We start from the raw sequence: 24,359 nt of genomic DNA, 5'->3' as shown, positions 1-24,359 counted from the left end.
ACAATCTATGGATAAGAAAGCTGGGGAGAGGTGGATTGGAGGTGACAGATAAGAAATCTTTGAGAGAAACGCCTATAGATGGATGAACTGGAGAGGACCCAGGCAAAGAAAGGAGCCCAGACTTGGAGTGGGAGTAGGTGGAGGCTTTTCACAAATAGCATTTGTGCTGAGTACTGATATTCATCTGAGTGGGGAGAGGGTGAACGGAGCTCCCAGCAAAAGGAATTGCACATGAAAGGGCTGGAGGTTGAGATGAGAGTGCATGGTGCCTTCTGGGAACGGGGTCGGGGGGAGGGTGCAAGCCTCACTTTGTAAAATTGGGGGAAGATAATTCTAGACTCACATGAGTTGAAAGAATTCAAAAGTTCATGATGCAGAGTGTTGACCGGGGATAAAATAGGAAAGTGAAATATTGTATAAGTCTGTATAAGTGCTGTTATTATAAATCTGTCTCCAAATGGCCTATAGCAATTATTCTAAAATGCACAACAGCTGTATTTGTCCCCCTTCTGCCATTGCTGAAATTTACACTGTCATCGCGCCAGGAGGAAGGCTTGGCACTAATAATAGGCTGGCTGAGTATGGCTGGAGTGTGACAGACCCCTAGTTAGAGCCCAGAAAGACTGAGAGCAGAGTGGGGAACTGTAAAGCTCTGAGGAAATTCGAGTTGGTGGCTGTGAATATAATCAGAGCACCACCTTGTGGTGGCTGTCGTGCCTGCCTTAACCAATTCTGCGCAACCCCAGAAAACTATGCCAACTCATTTTAAGTTTTATTATACAGTGCACTTTCAAATGATTTCAAAGTCATTTCAGGCCTCTCTTCATGTCACCACTATTCGTCTTTGCTGTAAATTCTCCTCTTTGCGTTCACCAGCACCAATCCACACCAACCCATTCGATCTGTTTTCACACAGCTTATGACCGGCCAGTTCCTTCCTCCTACCTCCTTACTGCAATTCTTCCAAACTCTTGGTCCCTAGGAGCTCCCAAGTTTCCTGGGAAACTGACTCAGTAACTTCTTTTTTTCTTTTTCTTTTTCCTGAGACAGGGTCTCGCTCTGTCACCCAGGCTAGAGTGCAGTGGTGTGATCATAGCTCACTTCAGCCTTGACCTCCTGGGCTCAAGTGATCCTCCCACTTCAGCTTCCAGAGTAGCTAGGACTACAAGTAAGTATCACCATGCCTGGCTAATTTTTTTTTTTTTTTTTTAGTTTCCCTATGTTGCCTAGGCTAGTCTTGAACTCCTGGGCTCAACTCCTGAGACGCCTTAGCCTCTCAAATTGTTGGGATCATAGGTGTGAGCTACCATGCCCAGCCTCAGTGACTTTTCACAAATGGCATTTATGCTGAATACTGATATTCAGCTGGGTGAAGAGAGGGTGAACGGGTGAAAGTTACAGTGTAACTTTCCTACTGTCTTCCTAAGAATGGGAATAAGTCTTCTGCACATCTGAAAAGTTATAAACAATATTATTAAAAGCCATATCAGGGATTTACTACGAAGATAGGACCCCAGAGGGACTAACTGCGTCTTCTAGTAGAGTAAAGCTCGTCTCTGGCCACCCAGCGGGCCAGTAACACAGTGTCCTGGTAGGCAGACTGGTGTATCAGGTTTCAGAGGATGCCCCAGGGAACAGGACTAGAAGTATATGAGCTCTTTAAAAGCACAAAGCAGTCGTTTCCATGTTCAGATTATTTAGAGATTATGAAGGCACCAACCCTGCTTTCGATCTGCATACAGTCAAGTGGAGCAGACACAAGTCAATAATCGCAGTAGAGCCACTTAAGTTTTCTAAAAGAGATTTATCAGCAGGTTGCAGGTGAACATGGCCTTGAGATAAATCCTGCCCCTTGTTGAAGTACAGTTTCAGTAGATGGTTCATGGTATTTTAAGAATTGGAATTTTTTAATAAAAATAAAAAAGTTTTGTTTGGTTCTGTTCTAGATTTATTTTTCCTCCTAAATAAATGAGAAAGATGTTTCAACAAAGGTTCTTTATGCTGAATAATTGTGATGCTTGAAGGTGGTAATCTGCTTTGTTTAAGTGGATTTTAAATGTCAGACAATTCTAGACAGTTTTCTCTTGGTCAAATAAAAATTTAATTAAAAGTTAAAAAAATTAAAAGCCATATCAAATTTTAATATTGACAGGAGGGATAAAACTCTGTAACGCTGACTGTCTTAGATTAGGTTTCCCTGAAACATACCTATAATAAGGCTTTGTGTACAAGCAATCAATTTTAGAAATACTCCCAATAGAAATTGGGAAAGGGGAGCGTGGTTTCAGCTTGAACCCTCAGGGAAACTTGACAGTGAAAACCACACAAGGGAAGCTGGCCTGCACACTCTCACTCCCACCTGTCAGCTGTTGGCTAAGGGGAACAGGGAGTGAACTCCCAGATATTTCCTGGTCTTTTCCTGGGCAGACAAAGCTTTAGTAGCCAAGGAGACGTCTCCAACAAAAGTCCTAGGTGTGGGCCTTGGAAGCCACAGTGCAGGGAAGCCAAGAGAGGGAGTGCAGAAGAGGAACGGAGGTCTGAAAAGATCTAGAAAGACCACTATCAGTTTCTGTTTCAGAGACAGCACAGACACACGGGAGGCACTAAGTTTCTTATTCCTTCAGAAGACAATTAAGGCCAGGCATCATGGTATCACGCCTATAATCCCAGCAGTTTGGGAGACAGAGGCGGGTGGATCACTTGAGGTCAGAAGTTCGAGACCAGTGTGGCCAACGTGGCGAAACCCTGTCCCTTTTCTTTCTTTCTTTCTTTCTTTTCTTTTCTTTTTTTTTTTGAGACAGAGTCTTGCTCTGTCACCCAGGCTAGAGTGCAGTGGAGCAATCTCAGCTCACTGCAGCCTCTACCTCCTGGATTCAAGCGATTCTCAAACGTCAGCCTCCTGAGTAGCTGGGATTACAGGCGCCTGCCACCATGCCCGGCTAAATTTTTTATTTTTAGCAGAGATGGGGTTTTGTCATTTGGCCAGACTGGTCTCAAACTCCTGACCTCAAGTGATCCACTTGCCTCGGCCCCCCAAAGTGCTGGAAGTACAGATGTGAGACACACCCAGTCTTGAAACCCTGTCTCTACCAAAAAATACAAAAATTAGCTGGGGTGGTGGCATGCATTTGTAATCCCAGCTACTGGGGAGGCTGAGGCACAAGGACCATTTGAACCCAGGGGGCGGAAGCTGCAGTGAGCAGAGATTGTGCCACTCCACTCCAGCCTGGGCAACAGAGCAAGACTTGGCCCCCCAAAATAACAATAGGCCAGGAGCGGTGGCTCACGCCTGTAATCCCAGCACTTTGGGAGGCTGAGGCTGGCGGATCACGAGGTCAAGAGACCAGCCTGGCCAACATGGTGAAACTCTGTCTCTACTAAAAATACAAAAATTAGCCGGGCATGGTGACTGTGCCTGTAGTCCCAGCTACTTGGGAGTCTGAGGCAGGAGAATCGCTTAAACCCGGGAGGTGGAGGTTGCAGTGAACCGAGATCATGCCACTGCACTCCAGCTTGGGTGACAGAGCGAGACTCCATCACAAAAAATAATAATAATAAATAAATAAAATAAAAATAAATTTAAAAGAAGACAATTAAATTTCCAGTAACCTGATGATTAACTTTGCAGAGCCCAAACATACAGAAATACAATTAACACTTTTCTTTTTCTTTTTTGAGACAAGAGTCTCACTCTGGGCCGGCCGCGGTGGCTCAGGCCTGTAATCCCAGATGGAGACAATCCTGGCTGAGATGGTGAAACCCCGTCTCTACTAAAAATACAAAAAAATTAGCTGGGCGTGGTGGCGGGTGCCTGTAGTCCCAGCTACTCGGGAGGCTGAGCAGAAGAATGGCAAGAACCCGGGAGGCAGAGGTTGCAGTGAGCTGAGATCGCGCCACTGCACTCCAGCCTCGGCGACAGAGTGAGACTCCATCTCAACAACAACAACAAAAAAGAGTCTCACTCTGTCATCCAGGTTGGAGTGCAGTGGCGCAATCTCAGCTCACTGCAACCTCCGTCTCCCGGTTCTAGCGATTCTGGGGCTTAGCCTCCTGAGTAGCTGGCATTACAGGCACCCACCACCATACCTGGCTAATTTTTGTATTTTTCGTAGAGATGGGGTTTCACCATGTTGGCCAGGCTAGTTTCCAACTCCTAACCTCAAGAGATCCTCCCACCTCAGCCTCCCAAAGTGCTGGGATTACAGACGATGCCATCACACCTGGCTAATTATGTGTTGTGTTGCTTTTTACTTTTTTTTTAGACGGAGTCTCGGTCTCTTACCCAGTTTGGAGTGCAGTGGTGCGATCTGGGCCCACTGCAACCTCCGCCTCTGGGATTCAAGTGATTCTCCTGCTTCAGCCTCCTGAGTACCTGGTTTCACAGGCATCCTTGGGATCATAACCATCACATCTGGCTAATTTTTGTATTTTTTAGTAGAGATAGGGTTTCGTCATGTTGGCCAGGCTGGTTTATTGCTTTTTTTTTTTTTTTAAAAGATGAACTCTCGCTCTGTCACCTAGGCTGGAGTGCAATGGCACGATCTCGGCTCACTGCAACCTCCCACTCCCAGGTTCAAGCGATTCTCCTGCCCCAGCCTCCCAAGTAGCTGGGATTACAGGTGTGTGCCACCACGCCTGGCTAATTTTTGTATTTTTGGTAGAGACGGGGTTTCACCATGTTGGTCAGGTTGGTCTCGAACTCCTGACCTCGTGAGCCACCGCACCCGGCATTGCTTTTTTCAAGTTAATATTTCTCCTCCTGGCCAGGTACGGTGGCTCACACCTGTAATCCCAGCACTTTGGGAGACTGAGGCAGGCGGGTCACTTGAGGTCAGGAATTCGATACCAGCCTGGCCAACATGGTGAAACCCCATCTCTACTAAAAATACAAAAATTAACCGGGCATGGTGGCGCCTGCCTGTAGTCCCAGCTACTTGGGAGGCTGAGGCGGGAGAATCACTTAAGCCCAGTAGGTGGAGGTTGCAGTGAGCCGAGATCGCACCACTATACTACAGCCTGGGCAACAGTGCAAGACTCCATCTCAAAGAAAGAAAAAAAATATTACGCCTCCTGGAAAAAGCTCTTTCCCCAAATATTTGTTGATGACTTTGCCATAATTTTACCAGAGTCACATGGTTCCTATCTTGACCACATATTTTAAGAATAAAATATGAAATTTTAAAATCTGAAGTCTAAGTTATACTGCTGTGATGTCTAAGCAAGTAATCTGCAAGCATGGCAGCACATGAGGCTCATCGAGTATTTTTAAATGACCTGGGTCCCATCTCTATAGATTCTGACATTATGGTATAAGATGGGACCCAGGGGCGGGCGCGGTGGCTCACGCCTGTAATCCCAGCACTTTGAGAGGCCAAAGTGGGCAGATCATGAGGTCAGGAGATCGAGACCATCCTGGCTAACACGTGAAACCCCATCTCTACTAAAAATACAAAAAAAATTAGCCGGGTGTGTTGGCTGTCGCCTGTAGTCCCAGCTACTCAGGAGGCTGAGGCAGGAGAATGGCATGAACCTGGGAGGCGGAGCTTGCAGTGAGCCGAGATCGCACCACAGCACTCCAGCCTGGGCGACAGAGCGAGACTCTGTTTCCAAAAAAAAAAAAAAAAAAAAAAAAAACAGTGGAATTGAGTGGGTATGGCTATTGAGTTGACTTGAACTCAGGAAAAAGATAAAGAAAAACAGAGAGCGATTAACCAACAATTAAAAGCTGAGTTTGGCTGGGTGTGGTGGCTCACACCTGTAATCCCAGCATTTTGGGAAGTCGAGGGGGGCGGATCACAAGGTCGGGGGATCCAGACCATCCTGGCCAGCATGGTGAAACCCTGTCTCTACTACAAATACAAAAAGTAGCTGAGCGTGGTGGTGTGTGCTTGTAATCCCAGCTACTTGAGAGGCTGAGGCAGGGAAATCACTTGAACCAGGAGGTGGAGGTTGCAGTGAGCTGAGATCGCGCCACTGCACTCCAGCCTGGCAACAAAGCAAGACTCTGTCTCAGAAAAAAAGTTAGACCGGGCGTGGTGGCTCACACCTGTAATCCCAGCACTGTGGGAGGCCAAGGTGGGCAGATCACTTGAGGTCAGGAGTTTGAAACCTGCCTGCCCAACATGGTGAAACCCAATCTCTACTAAAAATACAAAAATTAGCTGGGCGTGTTGGTGCAGGCCTGTAGTCCCAGCAACACAGGAGGCTGAGGCACGAGAATCACTTGAACCCGGGAGGTAGAGGCTGCAGTGAGCCGCACTCCAGCCTGGGTGACAGAACGAGACTCTGTCTCAAAAACAAAAAATGAAAAAACAAAAATTAGTCATGCGTGGTGGCACATGCCTGTAGTCCCTGCTCCTCGCGGGGCTGAGGCATGAGAATCACTTGAGCCTGGGAGGCAGAGGTTGGAGTGAGCCAAGATTGTACCACTGCACTCCAGCCTGGGCGACAGAATGAAACTCTGTCTCAAAAAAACAAAAACAAAAACAAACAAACAAAAAATTTCAATTATTTTGTGAGAACAAAGCTATTTTCTTTCTTTTTCTTTCTTTCTTCTTTTTTTTTTTTTCCTGAGACAGAGTCTCACTTTGTTGCTTAGGCTAGAGTGCAGTGGCTCGATCTTTGCTCACTACAACCTCTGTCTTCCAGGTTCAAGCAATTCTCCTGTCTCAGCCTCCTGAGTAGCTGGGATTGGAGGTGTGTGCCACCACGCCCAGCTAAATTTTGTATTTTTGGTAGAGACGGGGTTTCACCATGTTGGCCCAGCTGGTCTTGAACTCCTGACCTCGTGATCCGCCCCCCCTCGGCCTCCCAAAGTGCTGGGACTATAGGCTTGAGCCACTGTGCCTGGCCCAACAAAACTATTTTCAATCTGTCATTTAGAAAAGGGAAAATAAGCTCTTTATAGCTCAGTTAAAGATGAAGATGAGGTCTCAGCTGGACATGGTAGCGCATGCCTGTAATCCCAGCACTTACGTCAGGAGGCCAAGGCAGGAGGACTGCTTGAGGCCAGGAGTTCAAGACACAGATGAGGCATTATATCAATAAAGTGGCTTAGATTTTTAGGGTTTTTTTGTTTTTGTTTTTGTTTTTTTGACAGAGTTTCACTCTTGTTGCCCCGGGTGGAGTGCAACGGAGTGATCTCCACTCACTGCAACCTACACCTCCCGGGTTCAAGTGATTCTCCTGCCTCAGCCTCCTTAGTAGCTGGGATTACAGGCACACACCACCATGCCTGGCTAATTTTTGGGTTTTTAGTAGAGACAGGGTTTCGCCATGTTGGTCAGGGTTTCTCCATGTTGGCCAGACTGGTCTCAAACTCCTGACCTCAGGTGATCCATTCGCCTCGGCCTCCCAAAGTGCTGGGATTACAGGCGTGAGCCACCGTGCCTGGCCTAGATTTTTAGTTTTTATGAAAACCAACACAGAGACCCCCAACATCTTGCTATGGTTTGAATGTCCCCTCCAAAACTCAGGTTGAAATTTAATTGCCATTGTGATGGTAATGGCTGGGTGCAGTGGCTCACCCAGATGGGACAGGCTAGGTGCAGTGGCTCACATCTGTAATTCCAGTACTTTGGGAGGCCAAGGCAGGTGGGTCGCTTGAGCCCAGGAGTTCAAGACCAACCTGGGCAATATGGTGAACCCTATGTGTACAAAAAAATACAAAAAAAAATAGCTAGATGTAGTGGCACACACCTGTGGTCCCAGCCACTTGGGAGGCTGAGGTGGGAACCTCACTTGAGCCTGGCAGGCAGAGGTTGCAGTGAGATTGGGCCACTGCACTCCAGCCTGAGTGACAGTGATTAGGCCATGAGGGTTCTGCCCTTATGAATGGATTAATGGCATTTTCACAAGAGTGGGTTCCTGATAAAAAGCAAGGTAAGCCCCTCTTGTCCACTCTTGCTCTCATGTGAGCTCCTTTTAATTTTTGCCTTCTGCCATGAGATGACTCAGCAAGAAGACCCTCACAAAATGCCAACACCTCAACCTTGGACAAAAACTTCCAGAACTGTCAGAAATAAATTTCTTTTCTCTATAAGTAACCATGTCTGTGGCATTTCTGTTACAGCAACACAAATGGAATAAGACACCTGTGTACATGGGTAGAAAAGGCAAGAGATATGTCATAGCTTTTCTCATATGATACAAAAGTGTCATGTTTGTTAAACAAATTTTGTTCCAAGAAATCCCTCTGGCAATCCCCAGAATCTGCTCTGAATGTGTATGCTTATTCAGTAGTGTCCTCAAAGTGATAGAAAAGTGGCTCTTTACTCTTTCCAGTTTGAGCAATGCATATTTAGTTTTTTTCTTTAAATTTAATAATTAAAACTTGGCCAGGCTGGGTGCGGTGGCTCACACCTGTAATTCCAGCACTTTGGGAGGCCGAGGCGGGTGGATTACGAGGTCAGGAAATCGAGACCATCCTGGCTAACATGGTGAAACCCTGTCTCTACTAAAAATACAAAAAATTAGCCGGGCGTGTTGGCCGGCACCTGTAGTCCCAGCTACTCGTGTGGCTGAGGCAGGAGAATGGCGTGAACCCGGGAGGCAGAGCTTGCAGTGAGCCGAGATTGCGCCACTGCACTCCATCCTGGGCGACAGAGCGAGACTCCGTCAAAAAAAAAAAAAAAAAAAAAGCAAACAAAAAAAACTTGGCTGGCACAGTGGCTCATGCCTGTAATTCCAGCACTCTGGGAGGCAGAGGTGGAAGGATCATTGGAGGCCAGGAGTTCAAGACTAACCTAGGCAACATAGGAAGACCCTGTCTCTACCAAAAAACATAGTTAAAATTAAAATTAAAAAGTATTCAAGTGCTAACACATAACGTTCAAAATATTTTCATTATGTTCTTCAGATAAGCTCATAACTAGATCATTCAGATTCATCATGATCAAGTCAGATAGGGTTGGTTTTTGCCATCATTCCGTTCTCTGTCTTGCCAATGAAATAAGAATATTTAGTATAATAGAAGAGTTGTTGGTAATACTATTCATCTTTCCACAAAGCTGAGGAAATAAAAGTTGAGACTCCTCCACTTTAAATAACATGGCTAGCATTTTTTTTTTTTTTTTGAGACAGAGTGTCACTCTGTCACCAAGGCTGGAGTGCAGTGGCCTAATGTCAGCTCACTGTACCCTCCGCCTGCTGGGTTCAAGCAATTCTCATGGCTCAGCCTCCAGAGTAGCTGGGATTACAGGCATGCACCACCACGCCTGATTAATTTTTGTATTTTTAGTAAAGATGAGGTTTCACTATGTTGACCAGGCTGGTCTGGTTCACCTGCCTCGGCCTTCCCAAGTGCCAGGACTACAGGCATGAGCCACTGTGCTTGGCCCATGGATAGCAATTTGATTTATTTATTTATTATTTATTTATTTAGGGATGGAGTCTCGTTCTTGTTGCCCAGGCTGGAGTGCAATGGCGCGACCTTGGCTCACTGCAATCTCCGTCTCCCAGGTTCAAGTGATTCTCCTACCTCACCCTCCTGAGTAGCTGGGATTACAGGCAATCGCCACCACGCCCAGCTAATTTTTTTGTATTTTTAACAGAGACAGGGTTTCGCTATCTTGGCTAGGCTGGTCTCGAACTCCTGACCTCAGTCAGGAGTCACTGTGCCCGGCCTATGGCTAGCAATTTTAAGCGGAAGTACTGTTCTTTTTTATTTTATTTATTTATTTATTTGTATTTTTGTTTTTATTTTTTGAGACAGAGTCTCATTCTGTCACCCATGCTGGAGGGCAATGGCTTGATCTCAGCTAACTGCAAACTCCACCTCCCAGGTTCAAGCGATTCTCCTGCCTCAGCCTCCCAAGTAGCTGGGATTAAAGGCACCCGCCACCATTCCCAGATAATTTTTGTATTTTTAGTAGAGACGGGGTTTCACCATGTTGGTCAGGCTGGTCTTGATCTCCTTGACCTCAGGTGATCCACCTGCCTCTGCCTCCCAAAGGGTTGGGATTACAGGCGTGAGCCACTGCGCCCTGCCCTGAAGTCCTTTTCTAAAGCTTTTTATTCTTTGTTACCAGAAAGTCTTCATTTGCATAGACTAATTCTCTGATCTGCTGGCTCCAGATTTCAATACTTGTTCTCCTTAGAGCAACTGACACCCTCTCTACACAAAAAATGGTGGAAAAGTCCAAACAGTCTTTATATTAAGCACCCTGTTCCTTTGGTTTTAAGTTTCTTGCTATGGATTACTCCTGGAGAAGTATAGGAGACTACAAATACCACAAAAAAAACAATGATTCCAGGACTTCAGAGTTCTTCCACGGCCATCTCAGGTCTGAAATTCTGAACTCTCCTCACAAATGGAAACAAAAAAGACCCACTCAACTTCAGTCCTTAGCATTTTACCCCTCTGGCAGGGGCCATCAAATACTGTCTCTTCTTCCAACTCCACATCATCTCTATCTCCCAAGGGATGGCCATCTGGCATCCTTAAATCCTAATCTTAAATGCCAATAGTTGTTGGTTTACAATCCTTTACAAAAGTGAAAAAGCTGCAGTCCTTTAAGCAAATGAAACTTATGGCAATAAATGATCCCATCCACTCTCAGGGAGGTGCCCTCTGTTTCCCATCTGTGCTCTTTAGAAACAGATTAACCAGTGCTTGTTAATAAAGCATATTTCTCAGACTTGGCTCACAATTTGCATTTTTGCTGTATCTATAAGGCTTCTGGGGCCAGGTGCGGTGGCTCACACCTGTAATCCCAGCACTTTGGGAGGCCAAGGCAGGCGGATCACCTGAGGTCAGGAGTTTGAGACCAGACTGGTTAACATGGTGAAACCCCACTTCTACTAGAAATACAAAAATTAGCCGGGCGTAGTGGCAGGCGCCTGTAATCCCAACTACTCGGGAGACTGAGGTGGGAGAATGGCTTGAACCTGGGAGGTAGATGTTGTGGTGAGCCAAGATTGTGCCACTGCACTCCAGCATGTGTCACAGAGTGAGACTCCACCTCCGGGTTGCGGGGGGGGCAGGGGGTGGGGGGCGGGGGAAGACTTTTGGGAATACAATGTCAATATTCTCTAGGACCTTTGCTTAAGTTTAAGATGAAACTGCTTTATCATTCAAATCTGGAAATTTGAGAAAGGAGGAGTTACTGATAAGCATACCGGGAAAACAAGGGAAAATCAGATTGCCCCAGGCAAACTGGAACCTGTGGTTGCTGTAATTGTAACTAGTCTTCTGATTGAGTGCTGTTGAAAGAAAATACTTTAGACGAATTTAACAGCGTTTAACAAAGCAAAGAACAATTTGAGAATTGGACAGTACCCTGAACCAGAAAAAGTTCAGAGTAACTCCAGGGCTGCTACCTGATCAGATAATATTTATTTATTTATTATTTATTATGTTTTTTTCTGAGATGGAATCTTGCTCTTTTGCCCAAACTGGAGTGCAGTGGCTCAATCTCAGCTCACTGCAACCTCCACCTCCCAGGTTCAAGCAATTCTCCTGCCTCAGCCTTCTCAGTAGCTAAAATTACAGGCGTGTGCCACCATGCCCGGCTAATTTTTGTATTTTTAGTAGAGATGGGGTTTCACCATGTTAGCCAAGCTGGTCTTGAACTCCTGACCTCGTGATCTGCCCACCTCAGGCTCCCAAAGTGCTGGGATTACAGGCGTGAGCCACCAGGCCCGGCCTTGATAACATTTATTAACAAACAAAGGAAAATGACCTACAGAAAACAGAAGTGAGGCTGGGCCCTGTGGCTTACGCCTGTAATCCCAGCACTTTGGGAGGTCAAGGAGGCAGGCAGATCCCTTGAGGCCAGGAGTTCAAGATCAACCTGGCCAACATGATGAAATACAATCTCTACTAAAAATACAAAAATTAGCCGAGTGTGGTGGGGCATGCCTGTAATCCCAGCTATTTGGGAGGCTGAGGCAGGAGAATTGCTTGAACCCAGCAGGTGGAGGCTGCAATGAGCCGAGGTTGTGCCACCGCACTCCAGCCTGGGTGACAGAGTGAGACTCTGTCGCAAAAAAAAAAAAAAAAAAAAAAAAGTAAAGAAAAGAAAACAGAAGTGAGGGAAGTGAGGTACAGAAATAGCTGGATTGGTTGCAGCTTGGCGTTTGCCTTATTTGAACATGATTTGAACAGTTGTCTGCCTGTGATTTCTGAAACTATCTGGTTGGTACAAGAGTAGGTAACAGGCTGGGGGCAGTGGCTCATGCCTGTAATCCCAGCACTTTGGGAGGACGAGGTGGGTGGATCACCTGAGGTCGGGAGTTCAACGCCAGCCTGGCCAACATGGTGAAACCCCGTCTCTACTAAAAATACAAAAATTAGCCAGGTATGGTGGCAGGCACCTGTAATCCCAGTTACTCAGGAGGCTGAGGCAGGAGAATCGCTTGAACCAGAGAGGCAGAGGTTGTGGTGAGCTGAGATCGCACCACTGCACTCCAGCCTGGGTCACAAAGTGAGACTCCCTCTCAAAAAAAAAAAAAAAAAAAAAAAGAGTACGTAACAGCCTATTTACATATCCAGTTAGTTATGGTCTACTGTGTATGGAGAAACCTTTGGGCTGAACTTAAAGTATGTAAGGAGGCAGCTTTAAGCTAAACTTAGCAGTGCTAAAACTCCCATTTTTCCCCTCAGCTTTCCCTATCTTTGTCAACTCAGCTGCAGTGCCACCCCCAGGAGTCTCGCTCTGTTTCCCAGGCTGGAATGCAATGATGCAATCTTGGCTCACTGCAACCTCCGTCTCTTGGGTTGAAGCGATGCTCCTGCCTCAGGCTCCTGAGTAGCTGGGATTATAGGCCCCCGCCACCACACCTGGCTACTTTTTGTATTTTTAGTAGAGGCAGGGTTTTACCATGTTGACCAGGCTAGTCTCAAACTCCTGACCTCAGGTGATCCACCCACCTCAGCCTTCTAAGGTGCTGGGATTGCAAGCGTGAGCCACCTTGCCACCTGGCCAGATAAATCTTTGCAGGCAGTTTTCTCTCTAATTATTCATCTTTCCCAATTAGGGTTTCTCTAAACCTGAATCTCCTTATCTTTAACCTTGGGCTACAGAAAGATAGAGCTTAAATGCTTGATTTAGAGTGCTGTTTTAGAAAGACCTTGGGCAAATTACTTAATCTGTCTGTGGTGGTTTCCTCACTTGTAAAGCAGGTACAACTGTAATACTAACAGCACTTACTTTATAGGGTATTGTGAGAATAAAGTCAGTTCCTATGCGCAAAGTACTCAGAGAACCACCTGACCTAAGTGCTCGATAATGTTAGCTATTACTTCCTCTAAAAATGTTCTATTTTATTTTATTTACTTTTATAGATGGGGTCTGTCTCTGTCATCCAGGCTGGAGTGCAGTGGCCCAATCTTGGCCCACTGCAGCCTTGAACTCCCGTGTTCAAGTGATCCCCGAACTTCAGCTTCCCAATTAAAAATAGTTCTCAGGCTGGGCGCGGTGGCTCACACCTGTAATCCCAGCACTTTGGGAGGCTGAGGCGGTGGTGGGGGGCGGAATCACCTGAGGTCAGGAGTTCGAGACCAGCCTGGCCAACATGGAGAAACCCTGTCTCTACTAAAAATACAAAATTAACTGGGCGTGGTGGCACATACCTATAATCCCAGCTACTCTGGAGCCTAAGGCAGAAGAATTGCTGGCACCCAGGAGGCGGATGTTGCAGTGAGCTGAGATCGCGCCACTGCACTTCAGCCTGGGCAACAAGAGCGAAACTCCATCTCAAAAATAAAGAAATAAATAATAATAATAGTTCTCTTTTCTTCCAGAGTTAAGTACCAGATCAATAAAATTATTATTTTCTTTTTTAGAGACAGGGTCTCACCCTGTCACTCAGGCTGGAGTGCAGTGGCATAATCATAGCTCACTGCTGCCTTGATTTCCGGGCTCAAGTGATCCTCCTGCGTCAGCCTCTGGAGTAGTTGGGACTATAGGTGTGCACCACCCATACCCAGCTGATTTCTGTAGGTTTTGTAGAGATGGCATCTTGCTATATTGCCTGGACTGGTCTGGAACTCCTAGCCTCAAGTGATCCTCCCACCTCAGCCCCCTCAAGGTGCTGGAAGTACATATGTCAGCCACGGAGAGTTCATATTCTGAATACCAAAGCCAAATAGAGTCCACGTGCGTTTTAATTGCATGGATCCACTTATATGCAGATCAAAATACACACATGGATCAAAAATACTGTATTCAAGCTGGGTGCAATGGCTCACACTTGTAATCCCAACATTTTGGGAGGCCAAGTTGGGAGGATCGCTTGAGCTCAGGAATTCGAGGCTGCAGTGAGCTGTGATCCCGCCATTGCACTCTAGCCTGGGCAACGGAGAAAGACCCTGTCTCAAAAACAAACAAACAAACAAACAGTATTCAAGGATTATGAAACCCGAGTATGTAGAGGGCTGACTTTTCCTATACGTGGGTTCTGCAGGGTCAACTTCACAATTTGAGTATGTGCAGACTTTGTTATAGTAGAGTCAGGTGGAGGTCCTGGAATCAATCCCCTGTGTATACTCATTAACTGTACTTCTTTTCTTTTGTTTTTCTTTTTTTTTTTTTCTTTTTGAGACATAGTCTTGCTCTGCCACCCAGGCTGGAGTGCAGTGACGCGATCTTGGCTCACTGCAACCTCCGCCTCCAGGGTTCAAGCGATTCTCCTGCCTCAGCTTCCCGAGTAGCTGGGACTATAAGGGACACGCCACCACACCCAGCTAATTATTGTATTTTTAGTAGAGATGGAGTTTCACCATGTTGGCCAGGATGGTCTCGATCTCCTGACCTCGTGATCCACCCACCTTGGCCTCCCAAAGTGCTGGGATTACAGGCGTGAGCCACCACGCCGGCCTAGTTAACTGTACTTCTAAAATGAACTCATTAACTTTACCAAAAGCTATTTCAATTCTCCACACACTACATTGCCTGCATTACACATTTGACGCAGGTTGGAAATCCATTTATTTTTCAACCAACCATAGATCCTTTTCTGAAACATTTTCTTAACACCTGTAATTTAACCTTAAATAAGTGAACTTTTTAATCTAGGGGTTATTACTGAAATATCTGTGTTTTATCCTCCAAAGGCCATTTTCCTAGCTGCTGAGGAGCTGGCCCTTAAGGACATTTCTGACTAATCATTCCTGGAAAGGAATCCATAGCTTAAAGACCAGTCACACCTGTCAATCAGCCATAGCCTGCGGCTTTCAAACCCAGCTGCTCAGAAGCCACTGGCAAAAAACATTTACAAGAGTGAAGCAGAGAAGAAACATAAGTGCATGTTTCTTTATTTCTTCTTTTCTCTATTCTTTTCCCAACATTTTCCCTTCATTGTCACTTAGCTCCTCAATCCACACAAGAATTCAATCATTCAAACAAGATCATTTTATAATATAAATTATATTTTGGGTTTGCAGTAAATCAGAAGAGAAATCCATTGACTCAGAAAATAACTTATAGGCTGGGCGCAGTGGCTCATGCCTGTAATCCCAGCACTTTGGGAGACCGAGGCGGGGAGTTCAAGACCAGCCTGGCCAACATGGTGAAACCCTGTCTCTACTAAAAATACAAAAATTAGCCAGACATGGTGGCGCATGCCTGTAATCCCAGCTACTCGGGAGGCTGAGGCAGGAGACTTGCTTGAACCCGGGAGGTGGAGGTTGCAGTGAGCTGAGATCACACCACTGCACTTCAGCTCTGGGCAACAGAGCAAGACTCCGTCTCAGGAAAAAAATAAAAAAATAAAAATAACTTAGCATTGGGACAAAAGGTTTTCCAGGAAAAGGAAAAAGGAAAAAAAAATCAATTTCCTCTCTGGGAAAATACGCTGCAAATTATTCCCTGTTTAAACACACCAATTATTTATTATTGCTTCTTATCAATATTATTTTCTCCCCTGGATACTCTTGAAATGATTATTGACTAATAATAGAATTATTCTAGAGCCTTCATGTATAAGCCCGTTAGAGGAATGAGATGGGATTTTCTGTGGTGACAGCACATGTTCCGTGATATCCACTTTTGATATCTGATCACTGTGAGACTTGCCAACTGATGGCCAAGCACTGATGTAGACTTGCTCATTAAATGCTGTGGTAGGACAGGGTGTGTCTAGCTGATTACCATGTCCAGCACCGAGTGGAAGTTAAAGGAGGCTAACAGGATTTACCACATCTAGCCCCAAATTAATTATATTTATTAGATCTGCAGCGCTGTTTAGAACCATCCAGCAGAAAGAGGTTTAATCAAAACTCAGGGCCTACATTTACCAAAGGGCCTGTACACATCTCTTTCAGAGATAAGGGTATAGGAGGTCTGGTGGTCTTTCTTTTTCTTTTTTTTTTTTGAGACAGGGTGTCACTCCATCACCCAGGCTGGAGTAGAGTGGTGCTATCTGGGCTCACTGCAGCCTTAACGTCCTGGGCTCAGGTGATTCCCCTCCCTCAGCCTCCCAAGTAGCTGGGACTACAGGCACAAGCCACTGCACCTGGCTAATTTTTGGACACGGTTTGGCTGTGCCTTCACCCAACCTCACTTGTTGAATGGCTCTGATGCAAATGCTGATAGTGATATGAACAATAAGGTCCAGGTTGAGGTGGTCTTAGATGCAGATGAGGAACTTGTTGGGAACTGGAGCAAAGGTGTTTTAGCAAAGAGACTGGTGGCATTTTGCCCCTTCCCTAGAGATCTGTGGAACTTTGAACTGGAGAGAGATAATTTAGGGTATCTGGTGGAAAAAATTTCTAAGCAGCAAAGCATTCAAAAGGTGACTTGGGTGCTGTTAAAAGCATTCAGTTTTAAAAAGGAAACAGAGCATAAATTTTGGAAAATTTGCACTCTGACAATGTGATAAAAAAGAAAAAAACCTGGCTGGGCACGGTGGCTCACGCCTGTAATCCCAACACTTCGGGAGGCCAAGGTGGGTGAATCACGAGGTCAAGAGATCAAGACCATCCTGGTCAACATGGTGAAACCCCATCTCTACCAAAAATACAAAAATTAGCCAGGCGTGGTGGCGGGTGCCTGTAGTCCCAGCTACTTGGGAGGCTGAGACAGGAGAATGGTTTGAACCTGGGTGGCAGAGGTTGCAGTGAGCCAAGATTGCACCACTGCACTCCAGCCTGGGTAACAGAGCGAGAGCAAGACTCCGCCTCAAAAAAAAAAAAAAAGAAAGAAAGAAAAGAAAAACCCATTTTCTGGGGAGAAATTCACGCCAGCTGTAGAAATTTGCGTAAGTAGCAAGGATCCTAATGTTAATCACCAAGACCACGGGAAAAATGTCTCCAGGCCATGTCAGAGACCTTCACAACAGCCCCTCCCATCGCAAGTCCGGAGGCCCAGGAGGAAAAAGTGGTTTTGTGGGCCAGGCCCAGAGTCCCCATGCAGTGTGCAGCCTAGGGACTTGGTGCCCTGTGTCCCAGATGCTCCAGACATAGCTGAAAGGGACCAATGCACACCTCGGGCTGTGGCTTCAAAGGATGGAAGCCCCAAGACTTGGCAGCTTCCAAGTTGAATCTGCAGGTGCACAGAAGTCAAGAATTTAGGTTTGGGAACCTCTGTCTAGATTTCAGAAGATGTATGGAAACACCTGGATGCCCAGGCAAAAGTTGGCCGCTGGGGTGGGGCCCTCATGGAGAACCTCTACTAGGGCAGCATGGAAGGGAAATGTGGGGTCGGAGCCCCCACACAGAGTCCCTAATGGGGCACTGCCTAGTGGAGCTGTGAGAAGAGGGTCACTGTCCTCCAGAGCCCAGAATGGTGGGTCCACCGACAGCTTGCACTGTGTGCCCGGAAAAGCTGCAGACACTCAATGCCAGCCCATGAAAGCAGCCAAGAGGGAGACTGTACCCTGCAAAGCCACAGGGGCAGAGCTGCCCAAGACCATGGGAACCCACCTTTTGCATCAGTGTGACCTGGATGTGAGAGCTGGAGTCAAAGGAGATCATTTTAGAGCTTTACAATTTGACGGCCTCGCTGGATTTTGGACTTCCTTGGGCCTTGTAACCCCTTTGTTTTGGCCAATTTCTCCCATTGGGAACTGCTGTATTTACCCAATACCTGTACCCCCATTGTATCTAGGAAATAACTAGCTTGCTTTTAATTTTACAGGTTCATAGGCAGAAAGGACTTGCCTTGTCTCAGATGAGACTTTGGACTGCGGACTTTTGGGTTAATGCTGAAATGAGTTAAGACTTTGAGAGGCTGTTGGGAAGGCATGATTGCTTTTGAAATGTGAGGACCTGAGATTTTGAGGGGCCAGAGGTGGAATGATATGGTTTGGCCGTGCCCTCACCCAAATCTCAACTTGAATTTTATCTCCCAGAATTCCCACGTGTTTGTGGGTGGTACGCATGGGGAGGTAATTGAATCATGAGGGCCGGTCTTCCCGTGCTATTTTTGTGATTGTGAATAAGTCTCATGAGATCCAACGGGTTTATCAGAGGTTTCCACTTTTGCTTCTTCCTCATTTTCTCTTGCTGCTGCCATGTAAGAAGAGCCTTTCACCTCCCGCCATGATTCTGAGGCCTCCCCAGCCATGTGGAACTGTGAGTCCAATTAAACCTCTTTCTTCTGTAAATTGCCCAGTCTTGGATATGTCTTCATCAGCAGCGTGAAAACGGACTAATACTTTTTTTTTTTTTTTGGTATTTCCTGTATAGATGGAGTTTTGCCACATTGCCCAGGGTAGTCTCCAACTCCTGAGCTCATGTGATCTGCCCACCTCAGCCTCCTAAACTGCTGGGATTACAGGCATGAACCTGTGATTGGCCTAGGTCTGCTGGTCTTTTAAGAAAATTTTAATGAAGGTTGGGCACGGTGGCTCATGCCTGTAATCCCAGCACTTTGGGAGGCAGAGGCAGGTGGATCACAAGGTTAAGAGTTGGAGACCAGCCTGGCCAACATGGTGAAACCCTGTCTCTACTAAAAATTAGCCAGGCGTGGTGGTGCATGCCTTAGTCCCAGGGGAGTCTGAGGCGCCTGTAGTCCCTCGGGAGTCTGAGGCAGGAGAGCTGCTTGAACCCGGGAGGCAGAGGTTTCAGGGAGCTGAGATCACACCACTGCACTCCAGCCTGGGCGACAGAACGATACCCCGTCTCAAAAAAAAAAAAAAAAAAAGAAAATTTTAATGAATAAGGGTAATATGGTTTGGCTCTGGGTCCCCACCCAAATCTCATGTCGAATTGTATTCCCACTTGCCAGGGGAGGGACCTGGTGGGACATGATTAGATTATGGGGTGGATTTCCCCCATGCATTTCTCATGATAGTGAGTTCTTATGAGATCTTTGTGTGTGTGTGTGTGCGGGGGGTCGGGGGGGACACTTCTTTTGTTCTATCTCTCCTACTCTGCCATGGTGAGACATGCCTGCTTCCCCTTTGCCTTCCACCACGATTGTACGTTTCCTGAGGCCTCCCAGTCTTGCTTCCTGTTATGCCCCTGAGTCAAACCTCTTTTCTTCATAACTTACCCAGGCTCAGGTAATTCTTTATGGCAGTGTGAGAACAGACTAATACAAAGGATTATAGGTTTTGACAGCACTTACACACAATAAACATGCAATTTCCTAAAATGAATGTGTAAAGACAAATAAGGGTTGCTCCAGAGACATGGTAAATAAAGCATTCTAGCAGTGTAGAAATAGGCAATGCTGTAAATAAGCTAGACTCAGAAATCAATGTGGGCTGGGCGTGGTGACTCATGTCTGTAATCCCCAAATTTTGGGAGGCCAAGGCAGGAGGATTGCTTGAGACCAGAAGTTTGAGACCATCCTGGGCAACACAGTGAGATCCCATCTCCATAAAAAAGACACAAAAATTAGTTGGGCATGGCACATGCATGAAGTCCCTGCTGCTTCAGAGGCTGAGGCAGTTGGACTGCTTGAGCCCAGGAATTCAAGGCTGCAGTGAGCCATGATCTCACTACTGTATTTCAGTCTGGGTGACAGAGTGAGACCCTGTCTCAAAAAAAAAAAAAAAAAAAAAGAAAACCAGCATCAACCTGAAATCAACCTGTTCTACAGTGACACCCAGGTTGAGGCCATAAACACAGTCACTCATGAGGAAAGGAAAAATGGCAGAGCCACATACATAAAATGTCCTACTACTCGCAGACACAAACACAGTCAGCCTGTTGAATGTGGAAGATTCCAAGTTAGTATCACCGCAGCCATGCCAATCTGCCAGTTAATCTGCCAGGGGAAGCGGATCCCTGTATCTCCAGGTGGTGGAAGTTGCAGGAGTCCTAGTTCAGGCCTCAGAGAGTAATCTGGCCTCTCCTGGGAGCTGCACCTGACCTGTACCTGTTTCCTTTTGTCAAAAACTGCGCCCGCATGCAGACTAGGGAGGCCTGCAGGTGAAACATAACAATCCCAGCGACAACAATGCCAGGAGTATAGGAAAGGCCACCGTCCATGTTAAATTCACACTTAAAAGTGTAGCTTGAGAGTCAGACCAGACCAGGGCAAGGGTGTAGGTGCTACTCTTAAAAGACGCGCTTCCACACTCAGCCTCTACGCAGATTTGGGACACCCAGCAGCCTGTCAAGTGGGTTTGCCATCATAACACATTTGTATCTTAAATGTGAAACATGGTTCAGTAATCACAATTCCCACACAGTTGTTGAAAATACAATTCAGGCCTGGCGCGGTGGCTCACGCCTATAATCCCAGCATTATGGAAGGCCGAGACGGGCGGATCACCTGAGGTCAGGAATTCGAGGCCAGCCTGGGCAACATGGTGAAACCCTGGGTGTGGTACAGCGTGCCTGTAATCCCAGCTACTCAGGAGAATCGCTTGAACCCAGGAGGCGGAAGTTGCAGTGAGCCGAGACCGTGCGGCTGCACTCCAGCTTGAGGGGACAGAGTGAGACTCCGTCTCAAAAAAAAAGAAAAAAAAAAAAACAAACCGAAACCAACCAAACAAAAAACAATTCAATAGGAGCACCTGGTCTTTTAACATGAAATCGTAAATATCTGGCTCAAACGTAACAAAGTAACACAAAATTTTAGTTTGAACTTCTGAAAATCGAAAATGGAAAAACTGCAATTTTCCTTATCATGCCCAGGTTAAGAGCATCAGGGTTAAGGGCACCAAGCGGGACACCCATGAACGGAGGCTTTGGTCCGTTTGGTTAGCTTTAGACAAGCGACTGCATTCATCCTCCTTCTCTCCTTAAAGATGGTGAACACTTCTTCATGTCATTGGAGTTGGAAATGGCTACAAAGCCTGATGGGAAATCCTTTATTCCACGGTCATTCGGCAGTTTCCCACGGCGGGGGAACAGTTTTAACTCGCCCGTGGGGAGGGTGGAGCCGGAGGTCAGTCCTACAAATGAGGTTTTGAGGGCAGAGAGCGGAGAAGACTCAGGAACGCGGCTCCCAGGATTCGCAAACCCAGTTCCCGGACACTGGCAGCGCGGCCCGCAGCCTCCACCGGCTGTGAAGCTGACCAACAGCGACAGGCGGGGCCGGGATCACGTGACCGACGTCTGGTCAGCCGGGCGTGCGCGGGAGCACGCAGAACTGTTCGGCCCCGGGCCGCGCGCCTTGCGTGCGCGCGCATGCCGGGGGCGGGGCATGTGGGCCAAGCCTCCGGCGCGCGCTGCGGGCGGGGGCGGGACGGAGCGGGGTGGAGGGCGGGGGCGGGGCCTAGTCCTGAGAGGCTGGGCCGGCGGCGGCTGCGGCGGGAGACCGGTGACCCGCGGCTGGGCGCCTCGGCCATGACTGCGGAGCTGCAGCAGGACGACGCGGCCGGCGCGGCAGACGGCCACGGCTCGGTGGGCTCCGCGGCGGCGAGCGGGAGCTGGGGGCGGGCTCCAGGCCCTGAGGGGAGCGTGCGGGGCCTGCAGGGCTGCGGGTTGCGGGCTGCGGAGGGCGCCCCGGCCGGGCGGGACAGGGGGTGCGCCCGCCAGCGTGGGTGAGAAGGCCAAGGGCTCTGCGGGGCTCGGGCCGCGGAGATTGAGGACTGCATCTTCGCGTCCGTGGGCGAGCTGAAGTTGTAGGGGGATTTCCAGATTTTGGAAAACCAAATATAAAGGGCTGGACGTGGGGTTCTCCGCCGCAGGGATCAGTAAGGTGAGCCCTCCTGGGCCCCGTCCGGGGTGAGAAACTTCCGAAAGCGGCAGCGTTGGTTGGTTTTGTTTTGCTTTGACTTTTAAATCAGTTTTATGGCGGCGTTTTTAAAAGGTTAAAGCAGACCGAAGTTATCTCACTTAAAGTCCGGAATTAATCACCGTCTTCTATAAGACCAGGGGTCCCAGTTACCACCACTTCCCTCCCTCCCAACCCGGCTTTAAAAACAAAACAGCGCAGCCTCCCCAATTATTGCCTTCATCGCTCTAGATTTTTAAGGAGGGGGAGGAGCTGCGTGATGAATAGAAAGTCTACTGATGATGATCTCCTGTTCCCAATGTCTAAGAAGATTGAAATCAATATAAGGACTTCTGATCTAAGAATCTGGTGAGAGTGAAAGAACCCTGGTTTGAGAGAAAAGCTAATGTCTGTATGAAGAAACTTGGGAAGAGGGCAATTTGAGCATGTCTTCTAGTGTTACTTCGGAATGTTATAACTTAACACCACCTCCTCACCCCTCAAGTACTGCACTTTTTCAAGAGAAAACGGGAAATCTGTGCCAGTTGTTCAAATACGAGTTTGGAGATGAGAAACTATATTTGTCGTACAAAGCTGGCAGACAGATACCCTCAGGTGAGAATCCTTTTATACCTTTTTACTCTTTTGTCTGGAAGGCCAGTAGTATTTAGCATGGAGACACTTTTTTTTTTTTTTTTTTTTTTTTTTCGACAGAGTCTCCCTCTGTTGCCTAGGCTGGAGTGCTGTGGCGCGATGTCGGCTCACTGCATCCTCCGCCTCACCCTCCTGAGTAGCTGGTATTACAGGTGCTTGCCACCGGCCCGGCTAATTTTTGTATTTTTAGTAGAGTCGGGGTTTCACCATATTGGTCAGGCTGGTCTCAAACTCCCGACTTAAGGTGATTCGCCCGCCTCGGCCTTCCAGAGTGCTGGGATTACAGGCGTGAGCCACCGCGCCCAGTCTGGACGCACTTTTTTTTTTTTTTTTTTTCCAGACGGAGTCTCACTTTGTCGCCCAGGCTGGGGTGCAGTGGCGCGATCTCGGCTCACTGCAACTTCCGTCTCCCGGGTTCAAGCGATTCTCCTGCCTCAGCCTCCCGAGTAGCTGGGACTACAGGCGCGTGCCACCACGCCCAGCTAATTTTTGTATTTTTAGTAGAGATGGGATTTCACTGTGTTGGCCAGGATGGTCTCGGTCTCTTGACCTCATGATCCGCCCGCCTCGGCCTCCCAAAGTGCTGGGATTACAGGCGTGAACCAGGGCGCCCAGCCTGGATGCGCTTTTTAAAACTCATGTAGAAAAAGATACTTCCAGGTCCTGGGCTCCGAAACGAAAGTATCATGCACTGACTTCTAATGGAAATATTGTTAGATGTTCACAAGTGCCTATTGAAATGTGTCAAGATTTTTCTCTGGCTTCAGAGGTCAGTTCTATTTGTTTTTAGCACAGTGATTTAAAAACATGGGAAAATTTTAGTTTGGAGACTATCATATTGATTTAGAGAAGAGACTATTTTAAGGGAGAGAGAAGTCATATTTAAATTTGTCGTGGCTCAGTCATTTAAGACCATGTGCCTATTAATCAGTGGCATCTTCATTTACCTCTGCCGCAGTTTGAGTAGTGACCCTATTTCAGCATTCTCCGTTTGAGACTGTGTGTGAGCTACTTGATGAGCATTTGTATGTAAGTCATAGCTATTTTGGGAAGGCTTGGAACTCCAGTGGCTGTGGCTGGCTGGAGTACTCCGATTCCTGGCCACCTGCAGAGTGATGACATTTACTGTTCTTCCCAGTGATTTGCCCTATACGGAAAGCTGATAAGCTTGGAATGCTTGATAATGTTTGCCCCTTTTATTTTTGCTAATAAAATGCTTCAAGTTACCAGGATAGGTTGAAGGAACTTACAGGAAAAGTACCTTTTGATCTTACAGGAAAGATTTTAATAACTTCTTCCTCATCTTGGTAAGTTTCATGTTAGAATGGATTCTTTTATTTTGAACTCTCTGAGGCATTCTACCTTTCCCTTAAAGGATATTTCATTGTTCTAGTTGAGGAGAGCTATCCTTCCCTGACACTCAGAAGCTATTTAAAGCCTAGACTGCTTCCCTTCCCTTATTGGTCAGTTGTACACAGGACAGACAAAACCCTTTATGGCCTCCCAAGAATTTTAGTGCGAGAAATATGTAGTACTCTTGAAATATGCTATCAGTATGGACTCGAATCTGAGAGTAGACACTTTATGATTTCACTAAATCCTCTAGACTGCAAACTGGTATTCGAATATCTAAAGAGGTTACATAGTGAC

The 24,359-nt window shown here is 47.0% G+C and overlaps 1 protein-coding gene across 51 annotated transcripts in view, besides 10 other annotated features; it reads left to right on the top strand.

Annotated features, from left to right (window-relative positions):
* Window positions 1,213–1,413: a silencer, noted in NCBI's record as "fragment chr11:113766496-113766696 (GRCh37/hg19 assembly coordinates)". NCBI's record gives its function as "represses an EF-1alpha promoter that drives an FKBP-Casp9 reporter gene in an ReSE screen in HepG2 liver carcinoma cells {active_cell/tissue: HepG2}" and the evidence as "EXISTENCE:reporter gene assay evidence [ECO:0000049][PMID:32094911]".
* Window positions 11,027–11,813: an enhancer, noted in NCBI's record as "NANOG-H3K27ac-H3K4me1 hESC enhancer chr11:113756096-113756882 (GRCh37/hg19 assembly coordinates)". NCBI's record gives its function as "activates a minimal SCP1, AML or CMV promoter by ChIP-STARR-seq in naive H9 embryonic stem cells {active_cell/tissue: H9 hESC(naive)}" and the evidence as "EXISTENCE:reporter gene assay evidence [ECO:0000049][PMID:30033119]".
* Window positions 14,172–14,958: an enhancer, noted in NCBI's record as "H3K27ac-H3K4me1 hESC enhancer chr11:113752951-113753737 (GRCh37/hg19 assembly coordinates)". NCBI's record gives its function as "activates a minimal SCP1, AML or CMV promoter by ChIP-STARR-seq in naive H9 embryonic stem cells {active_cell/tissue: H9 hESC(naive)}" and the evidence as "EXISTENCE:reporter gene assay evidence [ECO:0000049][PMID:30033119]".
* Window positions 20,395–21,056: an enhancer, noted in NCBI's record as "H3K27ac-H3K4me1 hESC enhancer chr11:113746853-113747514 (GRCh37/hg19 assembly coordinates)". NCBI's record gives its function as "activates a minimal SCP1, AML or CMV promoter by ChIP-STARR-seq in naive H9 embryonic stem cells {active_cell/tissue: H9 hESC(naive)}" and the evidence as "EXISTENCE:reporter gene assay evidence [ECO:0000049][PMID:30033119]".
* Window positions 21,107–21,356: an enhancer, noted in NCBI's record as "active region_5543". NCBI's record gives its function as "activates an Ori minimal core promoter by ATAC-STARR-seq in GM12878 lymphoblastoid cells {active_cell/tissue: GM12878}" and the evidence as "EXISTENCE:reporter gene assay evidence [ECO:0000049][PMID:35858748]".
* Window positions 21,346–21,640: an enhancer, noted in NCBI's record as "tiled region #42; HepG2 Activating DNase unmatched - State 1:Tss, and K562 Activating DNase unmatched - State 1:Tss". NCBI's record gives its function as "activates a minimal TATA promoter and a strong SV40 promoter by Sharpr-MPRA in HepG2 cells, with weaker activation in K562 cells {active_cell/tissue: HepG2 | K562}" and the evidence as "EXISTENCE:reporter gene assay evidence [ECO:0000049][PMID:27701403]".
* Window positions 21,346–21,916: a biological region, named in NCBI's record as "Sharpr-MPRA regulatory region 42".
* Window positions 21,377–21,536: a silencer, noted in NCBI's record as "silent region_3913". NCBI's record gives its function as "represses an Ori minimal core promoter by ATAC-STARR-seq in GM12878 lymphoblastoid cells {active_cell/tissue: GM12878}" and the evidence as "EXISTENCE:reporter gene assay evidence [ECO:0000049][PMID:35858748]".
* Window positions 21,557–21,916: a silencer, noted in NCBI's record as "silent region_3912". NCBI's record gives its function as "represses an Ori minimal core promoter by ATAC-STARR-seq in GM12878 lymphoblastoid cells {active_cell/tissue: GM12878}" and the evidence as "EXISTENCE:reporter gene assay evidence [ECO:0000049][PMID:35858748]".
* Window positions 21,615–24,359, top strand: part of USP28 (ubiquitin specific peptidase 28) — a 77,698-nt gene continuing 74,953 nt past the window's right edge. For 44 of the 51 annotated variants that reach the window (NR_174609.1, NM_001400807.1, NM_001400809.1 and 41 more), the window contains exon 1: window positions 21,615–21,742. Coding sequence is in view for 23 of the 51 variants with exons in the window: in NM_001400788.1 (NP_001387717.1) it covers window positions 21,686–21,742 (57 nt within the window). In the remaining 28 variants the exon portion in view is untranslated. Of the gene's footprint in view, window positions 21,743–22,307; window positions 22,671–24,359 lie in introns of all 51 variants that reach the window. The other 7 variants (NM_001400811.1, NM_001400804.1, NM_001400796.1 and 4 more) reach the window with 2 other exon arrangements.
* Window positions 23,227–23,727: an enhancer, noted in NCBI's record as "H3K27ac hESC enhancer chr11:113744182-113744682 (GRCh37/hg19 assembly coordinates)". NCBI's record gives its function as "activates a minimal SCP1, AML or CMV promoter by ChIP-STARR-seq in primed H9 embryonic stem cells {active_cell/tissue: H9 hESC(primed)}" and the evidence as "EXISTENCE:reporter gene assay evidence [ECO:0000049][PMID:30033119]".

Source organism: Homo sapiens, chromosome 11, assembly GCF_000001405.40.
Source record: "Homo sapiens chromosome 11, GRCh38.p14 Primary Assembly".
NCBI lineage: Eukaryota > Metazoa > Chordata > Mammalia > Primates > Hominidae > Homo > Homo sapiens.
Note: the sequence above shows the minus strand (reverse complement) of the source record. Positions and strands in the feature narration are given on the sequence as shown.